This window comes from Homo sapiens, chromosome 2 (assembly GCF_000001405.40).
Source record: "Homo sapiens chromosome 2, GRCh38.p14 Primary Assembly".
Taxonomy (NCBI): domain Eukaryota; kingdom Metazoa; phylum Chordata; class Mammalia; order Primates; family Hominidae; genus Homo; species Homo sapiens.
In genome coordinates this window covers 100923124-100943668 of record NC_000002.12, presented here as the reverse complement: position 1 = coordinate 100943668, position 20545 = coordinate 100923124, and the positions used below count along the sequence as shown (strand labels likewise).

General features: G+C 45.3%; 1 protein-coding gene across 21 annotated transcripts in view, besides 1 other annotated feature; it reads right to left on the bottom strand.

The window, feature by feature from the left end:
- The window catches only part of NPAS2 (neuronal PAS domain protein 2), a 178107-nt gene that overhangs the window by 53161 nt on the left and 104401 nt on the right, over nt 1-20545 (bottom strand). For 17 of the 21 annotated variants that reach the window (XR_007075420.1, XM_047444506.1, NM_002518.4 and 14 more), the window contains exons 3-5: nt 18375-18523; nt 10668-10759; nt 5827-5916 (exon numbers count right to left, since the gene is read on the bottom strand). Coding sequence is in view for 19 of the 21 variants with exons in the window: in XM_047444506.1 (XP_047300462.1) it covers nt 5827-5916; nt 10668-10759; nt 18375-18523 (331 nt within the window). In the remaining 2 variants the exon portion in view is untranslated. Of the gene's footprint in view, nt 1-5826; nt 5917-8537; nt 8744-10667; nt 10760-18374; nt 18524-20545 lie in introns of those variants that run through there. The other 4 variants (XM_011511242.3, XM_047444511.1, XM_047444502.1 and 1 more) reach the window with 2 other exon arrangements.
- Nucleotides 18651-18720: an enhancer, noted in NCBI's record as "active region_16295". NCBI's record gives its function as "activates an Ori minimal core promoter by ATAC-STARR-seq in GM12878 lymphoblastoid cells {active_cell/tissue: GM12878}" and the evidence as "EXISTENCE:reporter gene assay evidence [ECO:0000049][PMID:35858748]".

Sequence of the window (20545 nt, the reverse complement as noted above, 5' to 3'; positions counted from 1 at the left end):
GTCACCTCACCCTCTTCTTACTGCACAGCCTGCTTCCCATAGCCCCTGCTGGTTCACTCTTTTCCCACGTGCAGCCCCCTGTGGCCCTGTGTGGTCCTCATCTGGGCTGTGAGTATCTGTGACTAATTAACTGCTGTTGGCCTCATCCAGTGTCAGCTGTGGAGTCTTCAGACATCCGCATTACCCTAGGGTGGGATGAATGAGAGGTAATTAAAACAATACCTGCCCACAACTTGTGTCCAGATCGCGGAAAGAAAGCCTACTCATAATTGCAAGAAAAAACCCAATCAAAGAGGATGTCCAAATACCTGAGCAAGTAATTCGGAAAAGATGAAATCTAAATGGTTGACAAACATATAAAGAGACACTCAATCTCATTGGTAATCGAGAGAAAAGCAAAGTACAACTCCATGAGACACCTTCATGTACCAGACTGACAAAAACAAGAAGTCTGACAATGCCAAGTTCTGATGCCACAGCACTGCGACGTCTCCACCTTGCTGGTGCAGGGCAGACTGGTGCCACCACTATGGCATCATTCTGGTGTTACTTAGTAAAGGTGGAGGCAGAACTTCCCTCAACCCAGCCATTCTACATCTAGTCAGTCCTCCAGGGATGCTTGCAAACGTTCATCAGGAAACACTACAGGATGTTCATGGAAGCACCTTCCAAGAATCCCTAACTGGGATGAATGCAGGAATTGCAGCACATTCCTACGATGGAACACACCCAGCAATAAGAAGAGCCCACAGCAGCTACATCTGCCAGTGTGAGGCAGATGCGAAGCACAAACGATGTTGAGCAAAAGGAGAAGTCACAAGAGTCCATTTTCAATGATTCCATTTATACACGGTGAAACAAAAGGCGATACTAAAGAGTTTAGCAGTGAAGTCAAAGTTGGTGAAACTACAAAGGAAAACAAGCAAACAATGACCTTAAAAGTCAGGAAAATGGTTGCCTCCAAGTGGAAGGTGGACGTGTGACGAAAAAGGGGCAGACAGGAGCTTCTGTGGTCCCAGCCATGTTCTATTTGCTCACCTCAGTGACAGCTGCATGTATGTTCACTTGGTCAATTTAATACTGAACATATGTTTTATACACACATCTGTATTTATGGTATATAAAAATCAAAAGGCATAAAAAAAATCTAACTAGAGGCCTGGAATCTTTTAATCCATGATCAACTCTAAGCTGCAGCTGCACCTGTCAGGGCTCTGCTCCGACCCAGGGACACCTCTGACAAAATGATGTGGATCAATCAGATGGGAGCTTCCAGCAGGTGAGGGCAGGGTGGGGTGGGAAGGGCAGAGGGATGCTTCCTGAAAAGGTGTCTCATGGCTTTGGCCTTGCTGCTGTGTTTTGTGTTAACACAGGCCAGGGGCTTTGGCTTTCCTTTCCTGGGATCTCCTCCTGCTGTGCCCCTGCCACAGGAACTTGGCTCCATATCCCATTCTGGTCTTGTATTTTCTTCTCGCTGGGGCTTGTACCTGGCGAGCCAGCATGATACAGAAGTATTTTCTGGCCTGCAGATTTCTCCAGTTTTATGAACACTTGTGCCTTGTTTTCTTTGGGGAAGGTAGGGTTATCCATGCACATAGTTCTCACATCCAAGGCACTCCCCACCCGTGCCAAGCTGCTTGCAGTTGCTCATAACCCCAGTTATGAATTCAGTCCCTCGTTCAATGAACACTTAGGCACATGGCAAATGTTCAGGGCTGGGGATATGATGTCTGCCTTAAGAGCTTAGCACGATCCAGCTCATTAGGCAACACTGCATCTAGGAACAAATCAGAAAGTAACCCAGGAAGCTAACTTTCAAAACATCAAATAAAAGCCCAAACAGGAAACACAGATTATGCCTACTTTTGGTCTCTCATTTGGTTCTGCCTCAGCCGTACTCTTTCCCCATTCTGTCCAAGGCACGTGACTCATGCCCCTTGGATCTCTCCCGCAAGGTTTTCATTCCAGAGGCTCCCGTGAGCCCTTGGCCTCCATTGTATGCACGTCTGTCTTGCTCATGTTCCTTGCCTGTGTCAATTCTAGACACCAAAATGTGCTGGTGCTGCCACTGCTGAACAATTCTCATTATTATTGTTATTTTTTTTTTGAGCCAGGTCTCACTCTGTCACCCTGGCTGAGGTGCAGTGGCGTGATCTTGGCTCACTGCAACCTCCTCCTCCCAGGCTCAAGCGATTCTCCCACCTCAGCCTCTCAAGTAGCTAAGACTACAGGCATGCGCCACCACACCTGACCAATTTTTGGATTTTTTGTAGAGACGGGTGTTGCTGAGTTACCTAGGCTAGTCTTGGACTCCTGACCTCAAGTGATCCACCCAGCTCAGTCTCCCAAAGTGCAGAGATTACAGGCGTGAGCCACCGCGCCTGCCAGTTCTCATCTTAAAATCACTTTCACTTTCAGCTATTTTATTCTCTTTTTTCTCTGCCAATTTGGTAAAGAAAGTTCTAGGCTATTTCATCAGAAATTGCTGTACGAAAATCTATCACATGAGCTTCTGTTACATCTGAGATGTTGGCAGTGTGAAGGAAACAGAGAGAGACTTGAAGCCCCACAGCCTGAGAAGTGGGAAGGAATTCTGGCTGCTCTCATCCCCCTTACAATGGCTCTCCAATCCCCAGTCACACAAGGGGCATGGGAGGGGACCCCAGCAGGCCAGCCTGTGCTTGGCCTGACACCAAGAGGGGCGTTGCTGCTGGGGCCCACAGCCTCCTGCCCCCTGACTACCCTGTGTCCCGACCTCCACCTCAAGAGCCGCCTCTTCCTCGAGGAGCGACCACCACCTCTCAGCTCCTCATTCTCCCTTTCTGAGCCCCACACTCTGAGAACATTCAGCTTTACTGTGTCCCGTATAGGATTCTGAGGAGTGGTTAAGCACCAAGCTCTGGAGCCAAAGTGCCTGAGTTCAAATCCCAGCTCTTCACTGTCTGGCTGTGGAACCTTGGGTAAATTATTCAATCTCTCTGTGCCTCAGTTTCATCATCTGTGAACTGGGTAACTATGTACTTCATAGGATCCATAAGGATAAGGAGAGCAAATATAAAACAGCCTCGCTCTGGGCCAGGCACGGTTCTATGCGCCTACACATATTAACGCATGTGAGTGACTCTTAATGGTGCCTGCTACATTGTAAGTGCTCAGTGTTAGTCACCCAAGGTTTAATGGGTAAAATCTCTCAACAAAATTGCAAAAGGAAAGACAACCTCACAAGTTTTGAAATGTTGCATCATCTGTGGAAAGGACCTGGGCTCACAAGGAGTGATATTTAATAGTTAAGTATGCATCTAAGTAAACCAAACCAAAATCAGAATTCCTAAATTATGACCCAAATCCTGGGCACCAGAAAGACACCAGAGCAGACTGGTGACCAGCCTGGGTTCTGCAGTCAGCTACCCCTGGGGTAAGCCCCACTGTGCCTCTCACTGCCTGGGCCATTGGGGCTTCCTCCCCATAGTGGAAGTCATAGAGGTCTGACTCCCAGATCCGCTCCTCTGCCCAACCAGCTGTATGCTGATTGCACCAGGGAAGTTTCCATCCTCAGCAGCCTTTGCCTACCCACTTGCAAAGGAAGATCCTGGTGAAAACTGGATAATGAAAGCTGAAAGTAAATTGCAGTTAAATTTGGGGACTGCCTGGCCCAGGCTCACCTGCACCAGGGAGTTGAGGGCTGACTCACTGTATGTGTCTGGGCATGGGTATATATATACAGAGTCTTAGTTTGCATTCAAGTGGGTCCAGCATTGATAAATTAGAGTCGGGTCATTTCTGGCCCTTGTAGAGTTAGAAAATAATTTATGAAAGTGGTCCTAAATTGCTCCATAATTTCAAGTCAGAAGAATTTCCCTCTTACTTTCTAAGTCCCGTCTGCCACGTACAGCAACTGGGTCATCAGATAATTACAAGAGCATAAAGCAGAACAGTGCAAATCCTGTTTACCCAAACAGTTCTGGCTCCTGTCTCTCATTCCCAGGTCAATAAGCAGGCCACGTGTGGTTGCTTTCGGTCAGTGCCTACCACTGCCGAGCCCTTGCCATTCAATACAAAACACAAGCGCCCTCCAAAGAATACCCCAGCTCCTCTTCTGTCCTCAGACACCCTCAGATCAGCCCAGCTTCTCTGGGGTGATGATGGGGATCACTTCTGTATTCATGGTGTCAGCCCCATCACTAGCTTCCTGGCCAGAGATGAAAATCAAGGTGCAGCTGCACCCTCAGCTTCCTCCTTCAGGCCGAGTGAGGATGAGCCACTTCTGATGGCTATCAAGAGGAGAGAGCCCCCCAGCTCCCCACCACCAGCCTGATGCACCCTCGTTTTAGGAAATGGGCTGGAACACAAAGGGGAGACAGATTAGGTTAGATTAGGGCCTACTGGGAAGGCATCTGCTTAGCAACATAAAAAATGCTTTTGTGGGCCACCGCTCAGCGAATGCAAAGAAAAATGTAGGCAGCGGCTTCGATCTGCACACAGCATCATTTGCACTAATGGTGGGATAAGGGAGTGGCTTCCAGGGAAAGGTATGACCCAGGATGATGTGGAGCCCTGGGCCATCAGCAGAGCTGGGCTCATCACCCCAAGGCAGATGGAAGCTGCCCATGGAACAAGGCCACGCTGTTCCCTGGGCAGGGGCAGCTAAGGAGAGGGAACCGCGGTCCTCCAGCATCATCCTGGCCCAAGCTTTCCTATGTGTGAATCCAGGGCAAGCCTTCCTCTTTTCATCACATAAACTGGCCACCTATCCATGGATGAGCAGGGGTCGGGGGTGGTGGGGAAGGTTTTGGCTGGGCTCACTGGGAGGAGAGCGGAGAGAGGACGTTTTTTTCTTGTCCATCACACGTGCTGCTCCTGGTACAGCTGTCATTCACAATGATGCTGTGTGCAGATCGAAGCTGCCGCCTAGGAACAGGAACAGGCAATGGTGTGGCAGGAGATGGAAGCCTGGCCAGATGCCCATGAGGGAGCCTCAACGGTGGGTCCTCCACCAGCCAGGTGCAGACCCATGAGTCACTTCATCCTGTGTTGGGGGTTACCAGAGAGCCAGCAAGGCTTATGCAGAGAGGAGGGAGGGAGGGAGGGAGGAAAGGGGGGAGGGAGGGAAGGAGGGAGGGAGGGAGGAGGGAATAAGAAGGGAAGGAACGGAGGGAAAGAGTGGGGAGGGACATCTGTCAGGGCCTGTGACCATACCACAGCCCCTTCTGCCACCTTGGAGCTTCCATCGTGCACTTCTGGAATGCAAAGCCGACCCTCTCCTGGTCCACCCAGACACTCCTCACTCCCCAAGGTCTTCCAAGACATCAGTCTTCCCAGAGCAGTTCAACCCCCAGGAACCGGCCCTGCTGCCAAACCCTTACCACCACTAAGTGTTGCTACCCACTTGCAACCTCAGACATGTCCCAAGTAAGCCCCAAACCGTGTTTCAACCCAAGCCATCTGTTGTCCTCTCCCTTGATCAGCTGTCAGGTGACCCTGGATGTCTGTCAGCCTCCATGATGGCTCTGAGCTCCACTAACAGTGCTGTGACTCTCTCATCAGTCCCCATTTCTGACCCAGAAAAAGAATCTGTAGCCACAGCTCCCACTCCAGGCCTTGCCTGTTCCAGGATGGCACACGCCTGCATCTGCCCTTTTCCTGGAAGGCTCCTGGGACCTTGACCTCGGCCTGGTCCTGTCCCCAAAACTCAGCAGTCCTTTACTCTCCGCCCTCTTCTCACCTGCAGCCCCCTGACACCTGCACCACCTTCCATCTGAGATCTAATGATTCTCAACAGAAACATGGTAACGTGAACCGGTAAAGGCCATTGGAGTGGAAACTCACCGGTAAATGCCCAAGGAGAGGCGTGATACTGTCAGAGACATAGATGATGCTGCCGTCTGTTGTCACTGCGATAATGAAGCCATCTAATGCCTGTGGAAAATGCAACATTTGAAAGCTCCTTAGCAATGCGTTTATGGAGGAGCATGTCACTGATGCAGAGGACACTATTTTAGGACACTGGCTTTGTTTTATAATCCTCAGAATATTTCCATGAATAACCTCACGGCACTTCTTGGCCTTCCACGGAGGACAGCTTCTTACAGAAAATGTGTCTGGCCCAGGAAAAGTGTTTGCAAAAGCACTACAGGATCAGTGAAAAATGTGACCTAGTGGCATAATCAAATAACATTTAGCCATGGAAATTCCCTAAGTAGGTTTAATGATAAGCATATTATTAGCCTGATTCAGAAATACCACCCTTGCCATTAGAAAACATCAGCCATAGTTTATGGTTCCCATCTCCCTACCCCTGCCATCACTTTGAGTTCAATGGTAAACATTTGCCCTGATAAAGGTATCAGACCTAACAGATGCATTAAAAACAGAAAGTGTGCCTGTTGGCCAAGGCAGGCCTCTGCTCACATTCATTGCCACAAGAGAAATGCCCACTGAAGGAACTGTTTGTAAAGAACATTCACATTACTCTACAGGGCTGGGTGGGTGTGGGGGTTGCGTAACTCAACTGGATCCGTAAGCATTTCAGAATGTCTGAAAAATCCATGCATTTGAAAGTCTCTACTGAGTGCCTACTCTATGCTGGGCACACTGTCCTGGGTGCTTGTGATATAATAGGTTGAAGGTGGGCAATGCTTTCTCATAAAGCAGACACTTTTGCTCATGGTTTTTTTTTTTTTTTTTTTTTTGAGATGGAGTCTCACTGTCACCCAGGCTGGAGTGCAGTGGCATGATCTCGGCTCACTGCCACCTCTGCTTCCCAGGTTCAAGCGATTCTCCTGCTTCAGTGTCCCGAGTAGCTGGGATTACAGGCACATGCCACCAGGCCCAGCTAATTTTTGTATTTTTAGTAGAGACAGGGTTTCACCATTATTGGCCAGGCTGGTCTTGAACTCCTGTCCTCAAGTGATCCATCTGCCTCAGCCTCCCAAAGTGCTGGGATTACAGGTGTGAGCCACTGCACCCAGCCACTTTTGCTGGTTTTAGATTGTTTATTGGGATTTATTTTTGTGTGGATGCTTGCAGTGCTTTCACAATATGTATCTGATAGTTGATTTCTAAAATAAAGACGACATAATTCAGCAGAGAATAGGATCACAGTGGCAACTGGCTGTCTAGGGTGTGCCAGTGAGGGGGAGGAGACTAGAAATGAAGCCTACCTCTCCAGAAAGCAAGTCTTTAAGGGAATAATAGCTCAGGGAGACTTTTACTGGAAACCTGTCACTGTCGGTTCACTGACTTTTTCTTTGACTATCTTCCCCGAATCTGGACATTTTTCTGCTTAGGAAAAAAAGTGAAATATGTGCTTAGAAAGCTCTGGAAACATGTTGCATGCACTCAACTAGATGGTCACGTGATGTCTGAGAATCTGTGTGGACAATTCATTCTTTCACATTAGGAGGGTGTGGCTGAAGTGCATGGCAGCGGGAACCCGGAAGAGGCCACGAGCAGTGCATGAAGGGCACCTTTATACCATGCCGAAAGGGGAAAGAGTTCTTTTCACCAGGAAAATTAACACTAGACTCATTTATTATTTTACACCGACAGCTGGTAGGATTTAGACTGAAAAACAGATTCAAGTACGTTTCTTAAATGGACCTCGTCCTCTTGGATGACATCAGTGGTTCTCAACTGGGGGCAATTTTGGTAATGTCTGGAGGCATTTTTGATTGTCACCACTGGAGTGGGTGACTTTGGCATCTAGTGCTGCCAAACATCCTGTAATATGCAGGAGAGTCCCCACAACGAAGAACTACCAGGTCCAAAATGACCATAGTGCAAGATTGAGAAATGCTGGGTTAGATTTGAGTTACAGTAAACGAAGAAGTACATCCCAGTAACTTTTCCTTCCCAGGTATTTTTCTAAAAATGTTTTAAAGTCATCTATGAAGCCCTCTAGGAGGTGAATTTTTTTAAGGGGTAAGGGCACTGTTGATGACATCAGTGAGACTTTTCTGGAAAAAGCAGATTGGAAAGCTGGGAAAAGCAAGGGCAGTGCAAATCGTCTTGCACAGTGAGCCCATGTCCCTCCTGAATGTCTAAAGCAAGCGGGTGTTAAAAAGCTGAAGGTATTTATAGACGGGAGATAACTTTCATCAGCTCATTGGCATTTCCATCAACTCTATGAGAACTGCACTGAGTCATTGCTTTAAGAAAGCTGGCTGTGGTTCTGGAAGTCCCATCAGTAGCATCTGAAAGGGATTCAACAGCAAGTGATTGCAAAGTGCTGTGCCCCTATCCATGGAATGGTGATTTTGACTGGGGTGTTTCCAAAGGTGCCATAATGGCCCAGAATTTTCTAACCGCCACACATTAGAGGGAAACGAAACCTTCCCTTTCTGCAAATTCCTGAATCAGATGGAACATTTCTTGTGTTCCTTGGGACAACCTCTGGGCTAAGAGAAGAGATTGCTTTTCTGATTAAAATTCAGAAATTCCACAAGCTCCCTATTCCGCAGGCCACAGGCACTTTGGCTCCTTTTGAGTGCAACTGCTCCAATGCTGGTAGCCACAGTCTTTGCCAGCTGATACTTTACCAGCTTGGCTGGTCTGCAGCCAGGTCAATTTTGTTTTTTCAGCCAGGTCAATTTTGTTTTTTCAAACTTCACAGCTATGTGAGTCCTCCTGGAGTCTGGTTTTGTGCCTCTTAGAGAGAAGAGGGAAGAAGACGGGAGTCACATCTGGAGGGCATTAGCAGTTCCCTAGGGACATGATGGGTTATCTCCTGGGCTCTGTCCTCATTTTAGAAAGGGAACATCCTGGCCACTAAGACATGGCACCTGGATTCTTCACAGTCTCTGAAATGGCTCTGAAAAAAAACAGAGAGATGGGCAGCTGGAGAGAGACCCATGCTATGGGAAGGTTGCACTGGACAATGGTGACATCACCGTGGGAGCTCCCCATCTCCCCCAACCACAGCTGGGGCTCAGGCCACCAGGGAGGAGATGCTAGAAGGCTCCAGTCACTCAGCACTAGGTCTGTGTCTACTGAAGAGCAACAGGTTGGAAGAGAAGCCTGACACAGTCAGGGTCAACAGTACTAGTTGGTGGACTTTCCAGACCACTCACAGCTGCCATTCACCCAGAAGGCCTGCTGGTTGTGCAGGCTTAATTTCAGATCCAATTCATTCATCTAGCATGATTTCCTTTCCACCGGCTTCTAGGAGTCTACACCGGGAGCAAGGGAAAGTGCATAAAGACTATACAAATATCAATCTTCCTTGTCTAGAAATTCCAGTCTCCTGAATCTCAGTCCCGTCTTCTAGCCCCGAAATTTATTCATTTTTAACTTTACAAAAGCCCTATTTCCTCAAATACTTTTGATAGTTTGAAACTAACTGGGAAAAAAAAAAAAGGTTGTGCTACAGGCTCTTAAAAAAAGGCTGCTGCTATAGGGTTATGTGTTTTAACTACTTTTCCATAAGAATTAAAAGATAAATCGATTTATGTAAATTAGCATAATGATACATTAATTCAACATTTCACAAGCTGCTTTAAATTTAACATACTTAAAAATGCATTGCTTCTGCAGAAAGTTCTGTATTTTCTTTAAATATAGTTCACATGTAGATTTAAGTATCTTTCATCTTATGCAAATGTTCATTAATGCGTTTACATTTCATAATATTTGGACATCTTCATTCTGGCATTTTCTTACTCCAGTACTTTCTGTTTTCTGCAAGTTAATCTATGTAAATTGAAGTTTACATCAGTCTTATATAGGCACATAAGATATGAGATAGAAAGATTTATCCCCAGAAACCACTCTCCAAACACCCTGCCAGGAACCACTGGTCACAGCCAGCGTCTAACTTCCTTTTGCTGAGCTCATCTGTCCCAGTTTGCCTCCTCTTGGTTGCGGGCGTGGATATGTCATGCCTGGAGCTTTCTCTGACCCACTGCCATATCCATATACTCCAAAACTTATCTCCAGGTGAGAAGCCACAGCACGTTGGCAGTTGTTTCTGTAGAGGCTTATGCTTATCTGCATTGAGGAGTTTCACCCATATACAAATACATGATGTTGAGGAAAGGGACTCATTTAGATCAGCCAGGTTTTCACAAATACGGCCCTGTAGATGAGTATGGGGCCTCTGACCCAGAGGGAGGAACATGAGCATCTCACTCAGCACAGAAAGGACATGAGCTGGATGGGGAGGCACGGGATCCCTGTGGCTGATATCTGTATGCCATGTGGATGTAACATGAGTTCAAGTTCAAAGCATATCTTAAAAAGACAATTTTTAATTTCAAAACGTGTTTCTACTAAGGGAAAAAATGTATAATCATAGCAGTCTAAGAGAAGACTCTCTGAGTCAAATGACAGTGCAAGCTGATTCATCTTCCCTCTGTCCTTCTCCTCTCTCTACCTACCTCGAACCCACCCTTCCTGGCTCCCCAGCAAGGTGTCCTCTGGTTGTGACACCATCAAGGGGCTCATCCTGTGGTCACTGTAGTGAAAACACGTGACCACATTCAATTTTGGGATTCTTCTTGACATGGCCCATAGGCAACAGCAGGCAGAGAGCCTCAGGGAGGTATCTGTTTCAAAGTCAAGTCTTCCCAGGATCAAGAACAGTAGTTTCCTTTGGGTACAGGGACTTATCTGCAACAAGTAGCTACATTTTAACTGGCAACTGTTTAAGCTATTTTGAAAGTGCATTTCACCTCCAACATCAGCTGGGTGAATTCTTCATTACTGAGGAATGAAGGCTTCCAGTCTTGCTGAATGTCACAGATTTCCGTTTGCGCTGAGACTTCTAGAAAAGAGACACAAATAAGCCTTTATATTCAATGGCACCTAGAAATTGGAATTAACAAATGAAGCACATGTTACTTCTATGTAATTTTGTGTAAACTTCTGTGTAGTTTAATTTAAGAAGCCAGCAGAAGGAAATATGTTACCCTGATTTCCAAGGACTGGGAGCTTCGGATGTTCTCATCTCCCTTAATGAGGCTTTAGGGAGGTGCATCCCCCACCTTCTCTATGGCTGTGGTGCCTGCCCTTGCAGGTGGTACCATGGCCCTGAATGTCTACATGACGAACTCCATCGTCAACAGTTGGAATTAGGTAGTTACCACCTATGAAGGCAATAGGAACAAACACTGGGATGGTGTGACACCTTCATAAGTGGCTTCTTCATGGCCCAGGTGAAGCAAAACACTTCACAGACCTGGGATTTTAAAAATTCCAGAAACACCTTAGGCGTGTGGAAAATAACCCACTGTGTTATACAGAATGTACCATATTTTTCAGCATTTCCATTACTGAAATACAGCGTGCTATACACATACACATAATGTACTCTTCTCAAAACTTTTTGGGGTTAATCTATAGTTTATCCATTTCACAGAACTGCCTTGTACTGAAGACATTATGCCGATTTGTAAATTCAAATAGTCATTGGCCTACAAGGGGCTCCTTAAATATTTTAGTTCTTCTGCATTTTTAAAGAATGTTTTGTTCTATTATTGAATTATTTCTGATAAGATAATTATAGGTGGCTCAAATGTAATATCAAATATGTTTGTTTTTCCTTCAGTTTATCCTCCATCTTAAGCCAACATTTTGCTCCATTTCATGTAGTAAGAGGTTTCTTCAGAGATTATTTCCTTGGTGCTAGGAAAAATGTAAGAACATAAGACTCATAGCTCAGAGAATAAAACTAACCTGTTTAACAACTTCCTGGAGAATGCATATGGTCCAGGCAGATAATCCATCAACTTTAAGCCAGGAGAAAGATTTCAAGGCTCTCTCCTTTGTGCCTGTGTTTTTGATAATCTCTCTTACGTGGCGCATGAGGAATGCATTCTGCCATTTGAATGAATGAATCTTAGTGAATGCAGCAGCTACTCATGAACAAAAGATGTAAAGAGCTGAGTTATGGCCGGGCGCGGTGGCTCACGCCTGTAATCCCAGCAGTTTGGGAGGCCGAGATGGGCAGATCACGAGGTCAGGAGATCGAGACCATCCTGGCTAATGGTGAAACCCCGTCTCTACTAAAAATACAAAATATTAGCCGGGAGTGGTGGTGGGCTCCTGTAGTCCCAGCTCCTCAGGAGGCTGAGGCAGGAGAATGGCATAAATCCAGGAGGCAGAGCTTGCAGTGAGCCAAGATCGCACCACCACACTCCAGCCTGGGTGACAGAGCAAGACTCCATGTCAAAAAAAAAAAAAAAAAAAAAGAGCTGAGTTATGCGCATCACCCTGTGAACCTCCACTTGTTCCAAAACCCAATGTTCCCAGCAGTGCTCGTCTCCACCAGGAAGACTCCTTCCTTCGAGATGTCAGAAAGAACGAGTTGCTGCTGCTGTTATACAAAATTGGATTTTTGTCTTTGTGAGTTTAAAGGGGCAGAAAAGAGCTGCTATGAGCCTTTGGTAATAGAACACTGGAAGAAACCCAGGAGAAGAAACCCAGGAGAGGAAACCGTGCTGATGGTCAGGCAGCCAACGACACTGAGAGGGCCCCTGGAGGGAGGGCCGCGCTGTGGGGAAACGTCCAGTGTCGGGCCTCATATGCACATGGTGGAATGCAGCATGGGAAGCAGAGGCAGGTGCTACATGCACATCGTGGGCCAGAATCCATTCTGTGGTGCTGGCTGAGGCAAGGAAGAGAGGGTGCAACTCCCAGTTCTTCAAACAGATGGTTGCCACAGTTCGACCACTTAGAAAAGAGAGGGACTGAAGATGTGCTATAATATTTAACCCCATAAATGCCTTTCCTCTTCTCCCCAATATGCACACTCATCTGTGAGACTCTTTTGACCACTAGGATCAAACTATAGACTAACTGTTTTTCTAGCAGAAGAGTCTTTATGGCAGCCCAAATTTCATTTAAATAGAGATCCATTCAACTTAATGGTGAAGGAAAATGAAATACCCATTTCTTTAACTTAAGTAATTTTTAGATCATTCTGTATGACTGGGTATTTTGTTAACGCTAGCATAATAACACTGAAAGCAGCCATCTCATTCACTTTGTATTTCAACAACTGAATTAGACTCCTTGGAAGTTAAGGTTCATTTCATAGCATATTAAAAAAATATGTTAGATACGATGTCTCGAATCGAGGAAAAAATGTTACACTGGGAAGTAAAATTCAGTGTTATGGTAAAAGTGGTTTCCAAATTTCAAGGGAAACAAAACCACCTGAGAGCCATTTTTGTAGGAAAACATTGTGATTAAGAGCCAACCCCCCAAATTCTACTCTGATATCACTTGTACCCATTTCCTAGAGTGCTCAACTCCCGACTGCTCCTGGTATATCTGAATAATAAGCAGTATATGTTTGGGATGTATGTGGTCAAATAAAAGCCTGGAAAATGGAGCAGAAATTCCACAGCTGTCCTGGGTATATATTACCCTGTTCAATAGGGAAATTTCTCCTTGTTCTACAGCTCTCCCCACCTCATCTTCCATCCATGAAGACAGACACATTAAAGAAGTGTGAATGAGGAATGGGATTTAATGTTAGGAGAAAATTTCATTTAGACTCACTCAGGAAGAGGATAATGTGTAGGCCAGCCTGACCCACTAGAACATCTAGATGGATGTAGATAAGGATGTCCAATATGTCCTGCTATTTACAGACTTTAGGGATTTCTCTCTTATAATAGCTACTGTTACAAAATTTTGCTACAAAGAATCATGATCAGATTCTCATTTTGATTTGGATTACTTCAGAGAGAATAAGTGTACAGTTCAGGATTAAAATTCATTTCCGAAGCTGAGAAAATAGCAATGCTGAAAGATTATTGGGGAAAGAGCTAAATAATAACTACTTGGACCTAATCATCTTTCCTTACTTATCATGTGATCTCCCTTTAGCATGACGGCAGGAAGCATGTTGAAATTCATAGTTCTTAACCCTCACTGCACACCGGAATCACCTGGGGGCCTTAAAAATGCTGATGCCTGGGCCTTACCTAGCCATCTGCTGGTGAAAGGCTCTCCACCCTCTACAACAAACAGCCCTGATTTGCAGTGTTTGCCCCTTTCTGTGGTGTAAATACGCCTACCATGGCTGATTTCAAGCTACCAACTTGATGTCAACTGGCTTGCAAAACTCCTGAAAAGTGAACAATCTTCTCTTGCAAGCTGGTATCCCATTGTGGTCCCACCCCTAGAGATCATGACATATTGGTCTGTGGGGGGTTACCTGGTAATATGTATTTTTCAAAAGCTCTTCAGGTGATTCAAATGTGCACACAAGGTTGAGAACCAGCAGTCTAAATGGACACACTCATGAACAGCTGGAGTGCAGCTGTGATATAAATAGCCACAAGAAGCCCTGTAGATCACCCCTTGTGGAGCAGCCATTGAGTGTAGTGCTAAAAGGTTGGGCTCTGGAGACAGGCTGCTGGGCTTAGATTCCACATTTTCCTGGCTGTCTGACTTGGATGAGTGACTTGACCTTGTGTGTCTCATCTGTGCAATGGAACTAACTCAAAGTGCTGCCATGGGCCGGGTGCAGTGGCTCACGTCTGTGATCCCAGCACTTTGGGAGGCCAAGGTGGGCAGATCACTTGAGGCCAGGAGTTCGAGACCAGGCTAGCCAAAGTGGCAAAACCCCGTCTTCACTAAAAATACAAAAAATTAGCCAGGTGTGGTGGCACGTGTCTGCAATCCCAGCTACTTGGGAAGCTAAGGCAGGAGAATCGCTTGAACCTGGGAGGTGGAGGCTGCAGTAAGCTGAAATTGCACCACTGCACTCTAGCCTGGGTGACAGACCAAGACTCTGTCTCCCAAAAGAAAGTGCTGCCATGAAGAGGAGCTCTATGTAGAGGAGTTCCTGTAGGTAGAGCTCTTAGAATATTGCCCAGCTCATAGCAAGCCCTGAACAGATGCTTACGGTCAGTATTCTCTACTCTGTTGCAGGTGCCTGCAGAGTTCATGTCCATTTGGACTGCAAGTAAAGGAAAGTGATTGCTTTGTTTTTTGCTTTAATCCAAGTTTTGCTCCAACAACTCTACTTCCCCAAAAAACGTACCATGAATTTTCTGCTTTATTTTGAATATGAAATCACAGAGATGAGTGAGATCCTGGCATGATCCTCATTGTGTTTAAGCAGGTTGTGCGGAGTAGGCCTTCATCTTATGAAAAAGGCGAGCTGAAGCAGGCTCTCCCGGTATTTGGAGGCTGCATTTCTGCTGACTTATCCTTTCCAGGGCCCAGATTTGACAATTCTGTAATTCCACAGTGGACAGAGCCCGGCATAAATGTCAGGCTGATGAACTTGATCCCAGCTGTCCTATTTAACAGCTGTCCTGCTTCTCGGTGGCAATGACCTAGTTTGAGTAATTTGCACAAAATATCTTGGCAATCAAACCAACCTGCTATTTCACTTGGCTAAATCATTATTTAGGAAATATAACCATTTGATTAAATTATCAGGGCAATCAAATACTGCTGTAACACTTCGTTCCAATCCTGCTTGATTGGTCTTTCCTGACTTTTAACAAAAGCAATTAACATGTTCTTTACTCTCTCCTGGGCAGCTTTGGAAAAAATAATATGAGGATATATCATCACTGTCACATTTTTAATAGGTATATATGATCATCAAAGAAATAATAAAAGACTAAGAAGTATAATGAAACTTTCTGATGTCCCAGCCGCACCCTCTTTTATGAAATCATCTTGTCTAGGAAAATGTTCAGTGGAAGAGACACATCACTGCCTGCATGGAAGAACTGTAATTATTTCCTCACTAATTCTGACATTTCTGACTTATTATGTTTGGTGTCATGATTAAAGAAAAAAGAATTCTGCTCTTCCTGCTTGCTAATAGGTTCTGAGCCCTCTTAACTATTCTGTGACTTTTTGTAACATCCTGGGTGACTGGCAGGGTAGGTGTGACCACACACTAACAGGTAAAAGTGTTTGAAGGAGAGGAAAAGGGAGAGAGAATGATTTGAGAAAGATGTGAGCTCAAGGATGAGTTCAAGTGGCATATGCAGGTGATCGTGTGATGGAATACTATACACTAATGAAAGGGAACTAGCAATAGCATGGGAAGAATGGGAGGAATCTCATAAACATCATGTGTATAATTCATGGTTCCATCTGAATAAGGTTCCAACAGGCAAAAGCAACCTATGGGGTTAGAAGTCAGCACAGAGGTTCCTTCTTTTGGGAAAGCAGAGGAAGACAGGAAGGAGCTTCTATTTCTTGACCTGGGTCGTTGGTTCCCTGGCTGTGTCTGCTTTGTGATAATTAATTCAACTGTACAGTTATGATTTGTATATTCTCTGTATGTGTTACTTTTATAAAGTATTACAAAGTTAGAAAAAGAATGGAGTGCCAGGATAACTGGAAATCCACATGCAAAAGGATGAATTTTCATAGCCCACCTTACGACATCTACAAAAACGAACACAAAATGGATCAAATATCTATGCTTAACCTACAGTTTAAAATTATAAACCTTTTAGGCTGGGCGTGGTGGCTCACACCTGCAATCCCAGCACTTTGGGAGGCCGGGGCGGGTGAATCACGAGGTCAGGAGATTGAGACTATCCTGGCTAACATGGTGAAACCCCTTCTCTACTAAAAATAGAAAAAATTAGCCGGGTGTGGTGGCACCTCTAGTCCCAGCTACTCAGGAGGCTGAGGCAGGAGAATGGTGTGAACCCTGGAGGCGGAGCTTGCAGTGAGCCTAGATCACGCCGCTGCACTCCAGTCTTGGTGACAGAACAAGACTGTCTCAAAAAAAAAAAAAAAAAGAAAGAAAAAAAGAAAAAAGGTTATAAACCTTTTAGAAGAAAACATAGATATAAATCTTCATTACCTTAGATTAGGCAATGATTTCTTAGATAGAATGCCTCAAGCACAAGTAGTCAAAAGAAAAAAATAAATTTGACATTAACTGATTAAAATTTAAAACCTTCGTGTGTCAAAGAGTATCACTTGAAAAGTAAAAAGACAATCCACAGAATGGGGGAAGATATTTTCGAATTCTATACCAGATAAGGGTCTAGTATCTAGAATACATGGAGAACTCTTACCACTCCAGCATAAAAAGAAAAATCAATGATTTAAAAAGGGGCCATGGATTTGGACATCTCTCCAAAGAAGATACACAAATAGCCAATAAGTACATGAAAAGATCACGAAAAGGAAAACATGATCAGTTATTGGGAAATTCAAATCAAAGTCACATAAGATATCACTTCATACCCACTAGGGAGATTATATTAATAATAGTCATAATAAAAGAAGACAGTAATAAGTGTTGCCAAGGATGTGGAGAAATTGGAACCCTCATACATTGCTGCTGGGAATATAAATAGGTACAAGCCACCTTGGAAAACAGTTTGGCAGTTCCTCAGAAAGCTAAACACTACCATTTAATGCAGCAATTCCCCTCCTAGGAATACAAACAAAAGAAGTGAAAACATATATCAACTCAAAAATTTGTACATGAATGTTCACAGCAGCATCATTCATAATTTCCAAAAATTGTAAACAACCCAAATATCCATCAACTGATGAATGGTTAATCAAAATATGATATTAATATATCCATACAATGGAATATTGTTGGTCCATGAAACGGAATGAAGTACTCACACATGCTAAAACACAGATGCTACGTGAAAGAAGCCAGATACAAAAAGACCACATACCGTATGATTCTACTTGTATAAAATGCCTAGAATAGGGGAATTGATGGAGACAGAAAACAGATTCGTGGTTGCCAGGATCTGGAGGGAGGGGGAAGAATGGGAAATGATGGCTAATGGATACAGGGTTTCTTTTTTGGCATGATGAAATTAGAGAGTGGTGATGGTTACACCACCTTGTGAATATACTGAAGACCACTGCACTCTACACTTTAAAATGGTGAATTTTATGGTATAAACATTATATCTCAATAAAAACAGAATGAATGTGACATTAAGAAAATAAATTCTTTTCAATGTATTTTTTCATGATGTAGCGCAAAAGACCAAAGAGTTCGAGGGCAGTGGCAGAGAGGGATGAAAAGGCCCACATAGTCTGATCCCACAGGAAGTGAGTATTCAGCCACTGCATCTGTTCAGCATTGAATAAAAGACACTTGTTCCAGGGATTTTTGATCAAGATGTTGTCACTGTGAATGCCACGCTGCTTCGGCTGGGTGCTACCTGTGAGGTTGTTTTGGATTCTCTCGTCTGGCTTATAATGCAATTGGGAGGTGTGTGCCCTCTCCCCACCCAGCCAGAGACGGGCTGATAGAGGGTGGAGTGTCTTTACAATGGGAAGCCCTCGACCGGTAAGGCTGGGCCTGGCTGGGGAGACAAAACCAACCAGGCAGCCCAGATTGGTGAAGTCATCACCACATGGACGGGGCAGGGTGGAAAAAAAACAGAGAGAAGGGTGACCTTTACCATTGTGTTTCTGCAAAAATCCGATGACCTTTTCCAACACGGTGGTTTTGTCCATTTTCCGCGTGTTGCCAGGGAGCATGGAACTGAGCTCTTTGATGAGAACATTGAACTGGTCCCGACGCTTCTTCTCAGACTTGTTTCGAGAAGCTCTGTAAACACAAAACGAGCAGGTTACTGGAACATTCCACGTCACAAAGGCTTTGTGATGAAACAAAAGCACTTTCTATTAGAGCACATTCTATTGTGATCATCTATCTTATCAAAAAACTCTTTCAGGAAGGTCACGCTGGCCACATTTCCAAGGCAGGAGGATAGAAAATGTTTTGCTAGACTCTTGGCCACAAAGACAGACAGCATTAATAACCAGTAAGTTCTGACTCAGACGCAAAATCTGACAGATTAGCTCTGAGGCCGGATGCTGCTCATTCGGATCTCATAGAGCTTTCACTTTCAGAGAGCAAAGGACACACTGCTGACTGAGATGGCTGTGCTCGGAGAGCCCTTCCTAAGACTCAAACCAAGTCCCCTTCAATCCAGAACACCCAGCCTGGTTCCAGGGCCCACGGGGTGGCCAGGTATCCCGTGTGCCACCAGTGCATATGTCCTGGCCCCTGCTCCAAAGAGCTCATCGCCCTGTTGGGGGAGGCAAGACACACCCTGCCTACAACAGCCAGGGCTGTACAGACCCAGGGCAGAGGTATGACAGGTACTGCACCATGGCTGTCAAGCTGCTAAGAGCAGACGAACACTTTTTAAAATGACATGGAGGAAAGTTAAACACATATTACTAAGTTGGAGAAGCCAGTCTGAAAAAGCTACACACTGTATGATAGCAAGTATATGACATTCTGGAAAATGCAAAACTACAGAGACAGCACAAAGATCAGTGGTTGCTAGGGGTTAGGAGGGATGAACAGAGGATTTTTAGGGCAGTGAATCCACTCTGTATGACACCATACTGGTGGATGTGTGTCAACACATTTGTCTAGACTTGGAGAATGTACAACACAAGAGTGTGCCTTGATGTTAACTCTGAATGGTAACAATGTATCAGTGTAAGCTTATCAGCTATAACTAATGCACCACTCTGGTGGGGGATGCTGATAATGGGGGAGGCTGAGTGTGTCTAGGGAGGGCTCAGGGGGATATGGGAACGCTCTGTGTCTTTCACTCAGTTTGTCTGTGAGCCTAAAAATGCTCCAAAAAATAAAGTCTATTTTAAATAAGTGACACCCTGTGCTGCACACTTATAGGAGAGATCAAAGGGAAGCTGCTTGGTTAGAGAGGAGGGGCCTCCCCCAAGCCACCCAAGCACCTCTGAGGACCCTGAGATCCTCAGGAACTTGAGTAGGGAATCGTGGCTCTCAGGAATGCTCTAATTAACAACGAACAAGGAACACGTGATGCAAAAAGCCCTCCTGAAAAGTCCGGAAGCAGTGCTACTCGAGGGGCCTCCATCTTCAATGACACGCCACAGGCCCTTCATCAACAATCCACGTATTTGAAGGTGATCCAGGGCTGAGAAAGCTGGCTCACTCCTCCCCAGTTCACTGAAGACAGACTTGTTCCAGAAGTCAACTCTCTGAGAGAGAACAGGGGCCCCAGAGGCCAGGCCCATAAAACATTGCTGCTTTTCCAGGCACCTTGGGCCCGGGGTCATGGTTCTCAGGGGAGCAAATCCTTCACCAGGAGGCTCCTGGCCAATGTGTGGTCAGGACAGAGTGTGCTGCTGGATTCTGATTCACCTCCCTTGGAGCAGGTGTAAGTATCTATAGGTAACAGTATCAATAAACAGCCCTTGGACACAAAAGGACGTATTTCCAAAACCCTTTCCCTAGACATCACGAGGACCATAACCACTCAGTTTGCCCCTGCCTAATTGCACACAACCTGCCTTTATTTCAACACACATGTTCACAACCCATCTTTTACCGGTCCTATCTCAGTTTAGGCTGTTTCCTGATAACATTTGGGCAATTCTTCAAAGCTCAGCTAACGTGTGTGGTCACTACCCTTTACCTAGGGGTCTTTTCCTGCCTCTCCCCTCCTCCCTGTCTGTTCTTGGCCTTCTACAAAGGCCCTGTCCCTCGCCGAGCCACTCTCTTTACCTGCACTCTCTCACATCACACACTAACTGCAGGCGTGGCAGCAAGATGTTGCGGAGTCTTGTT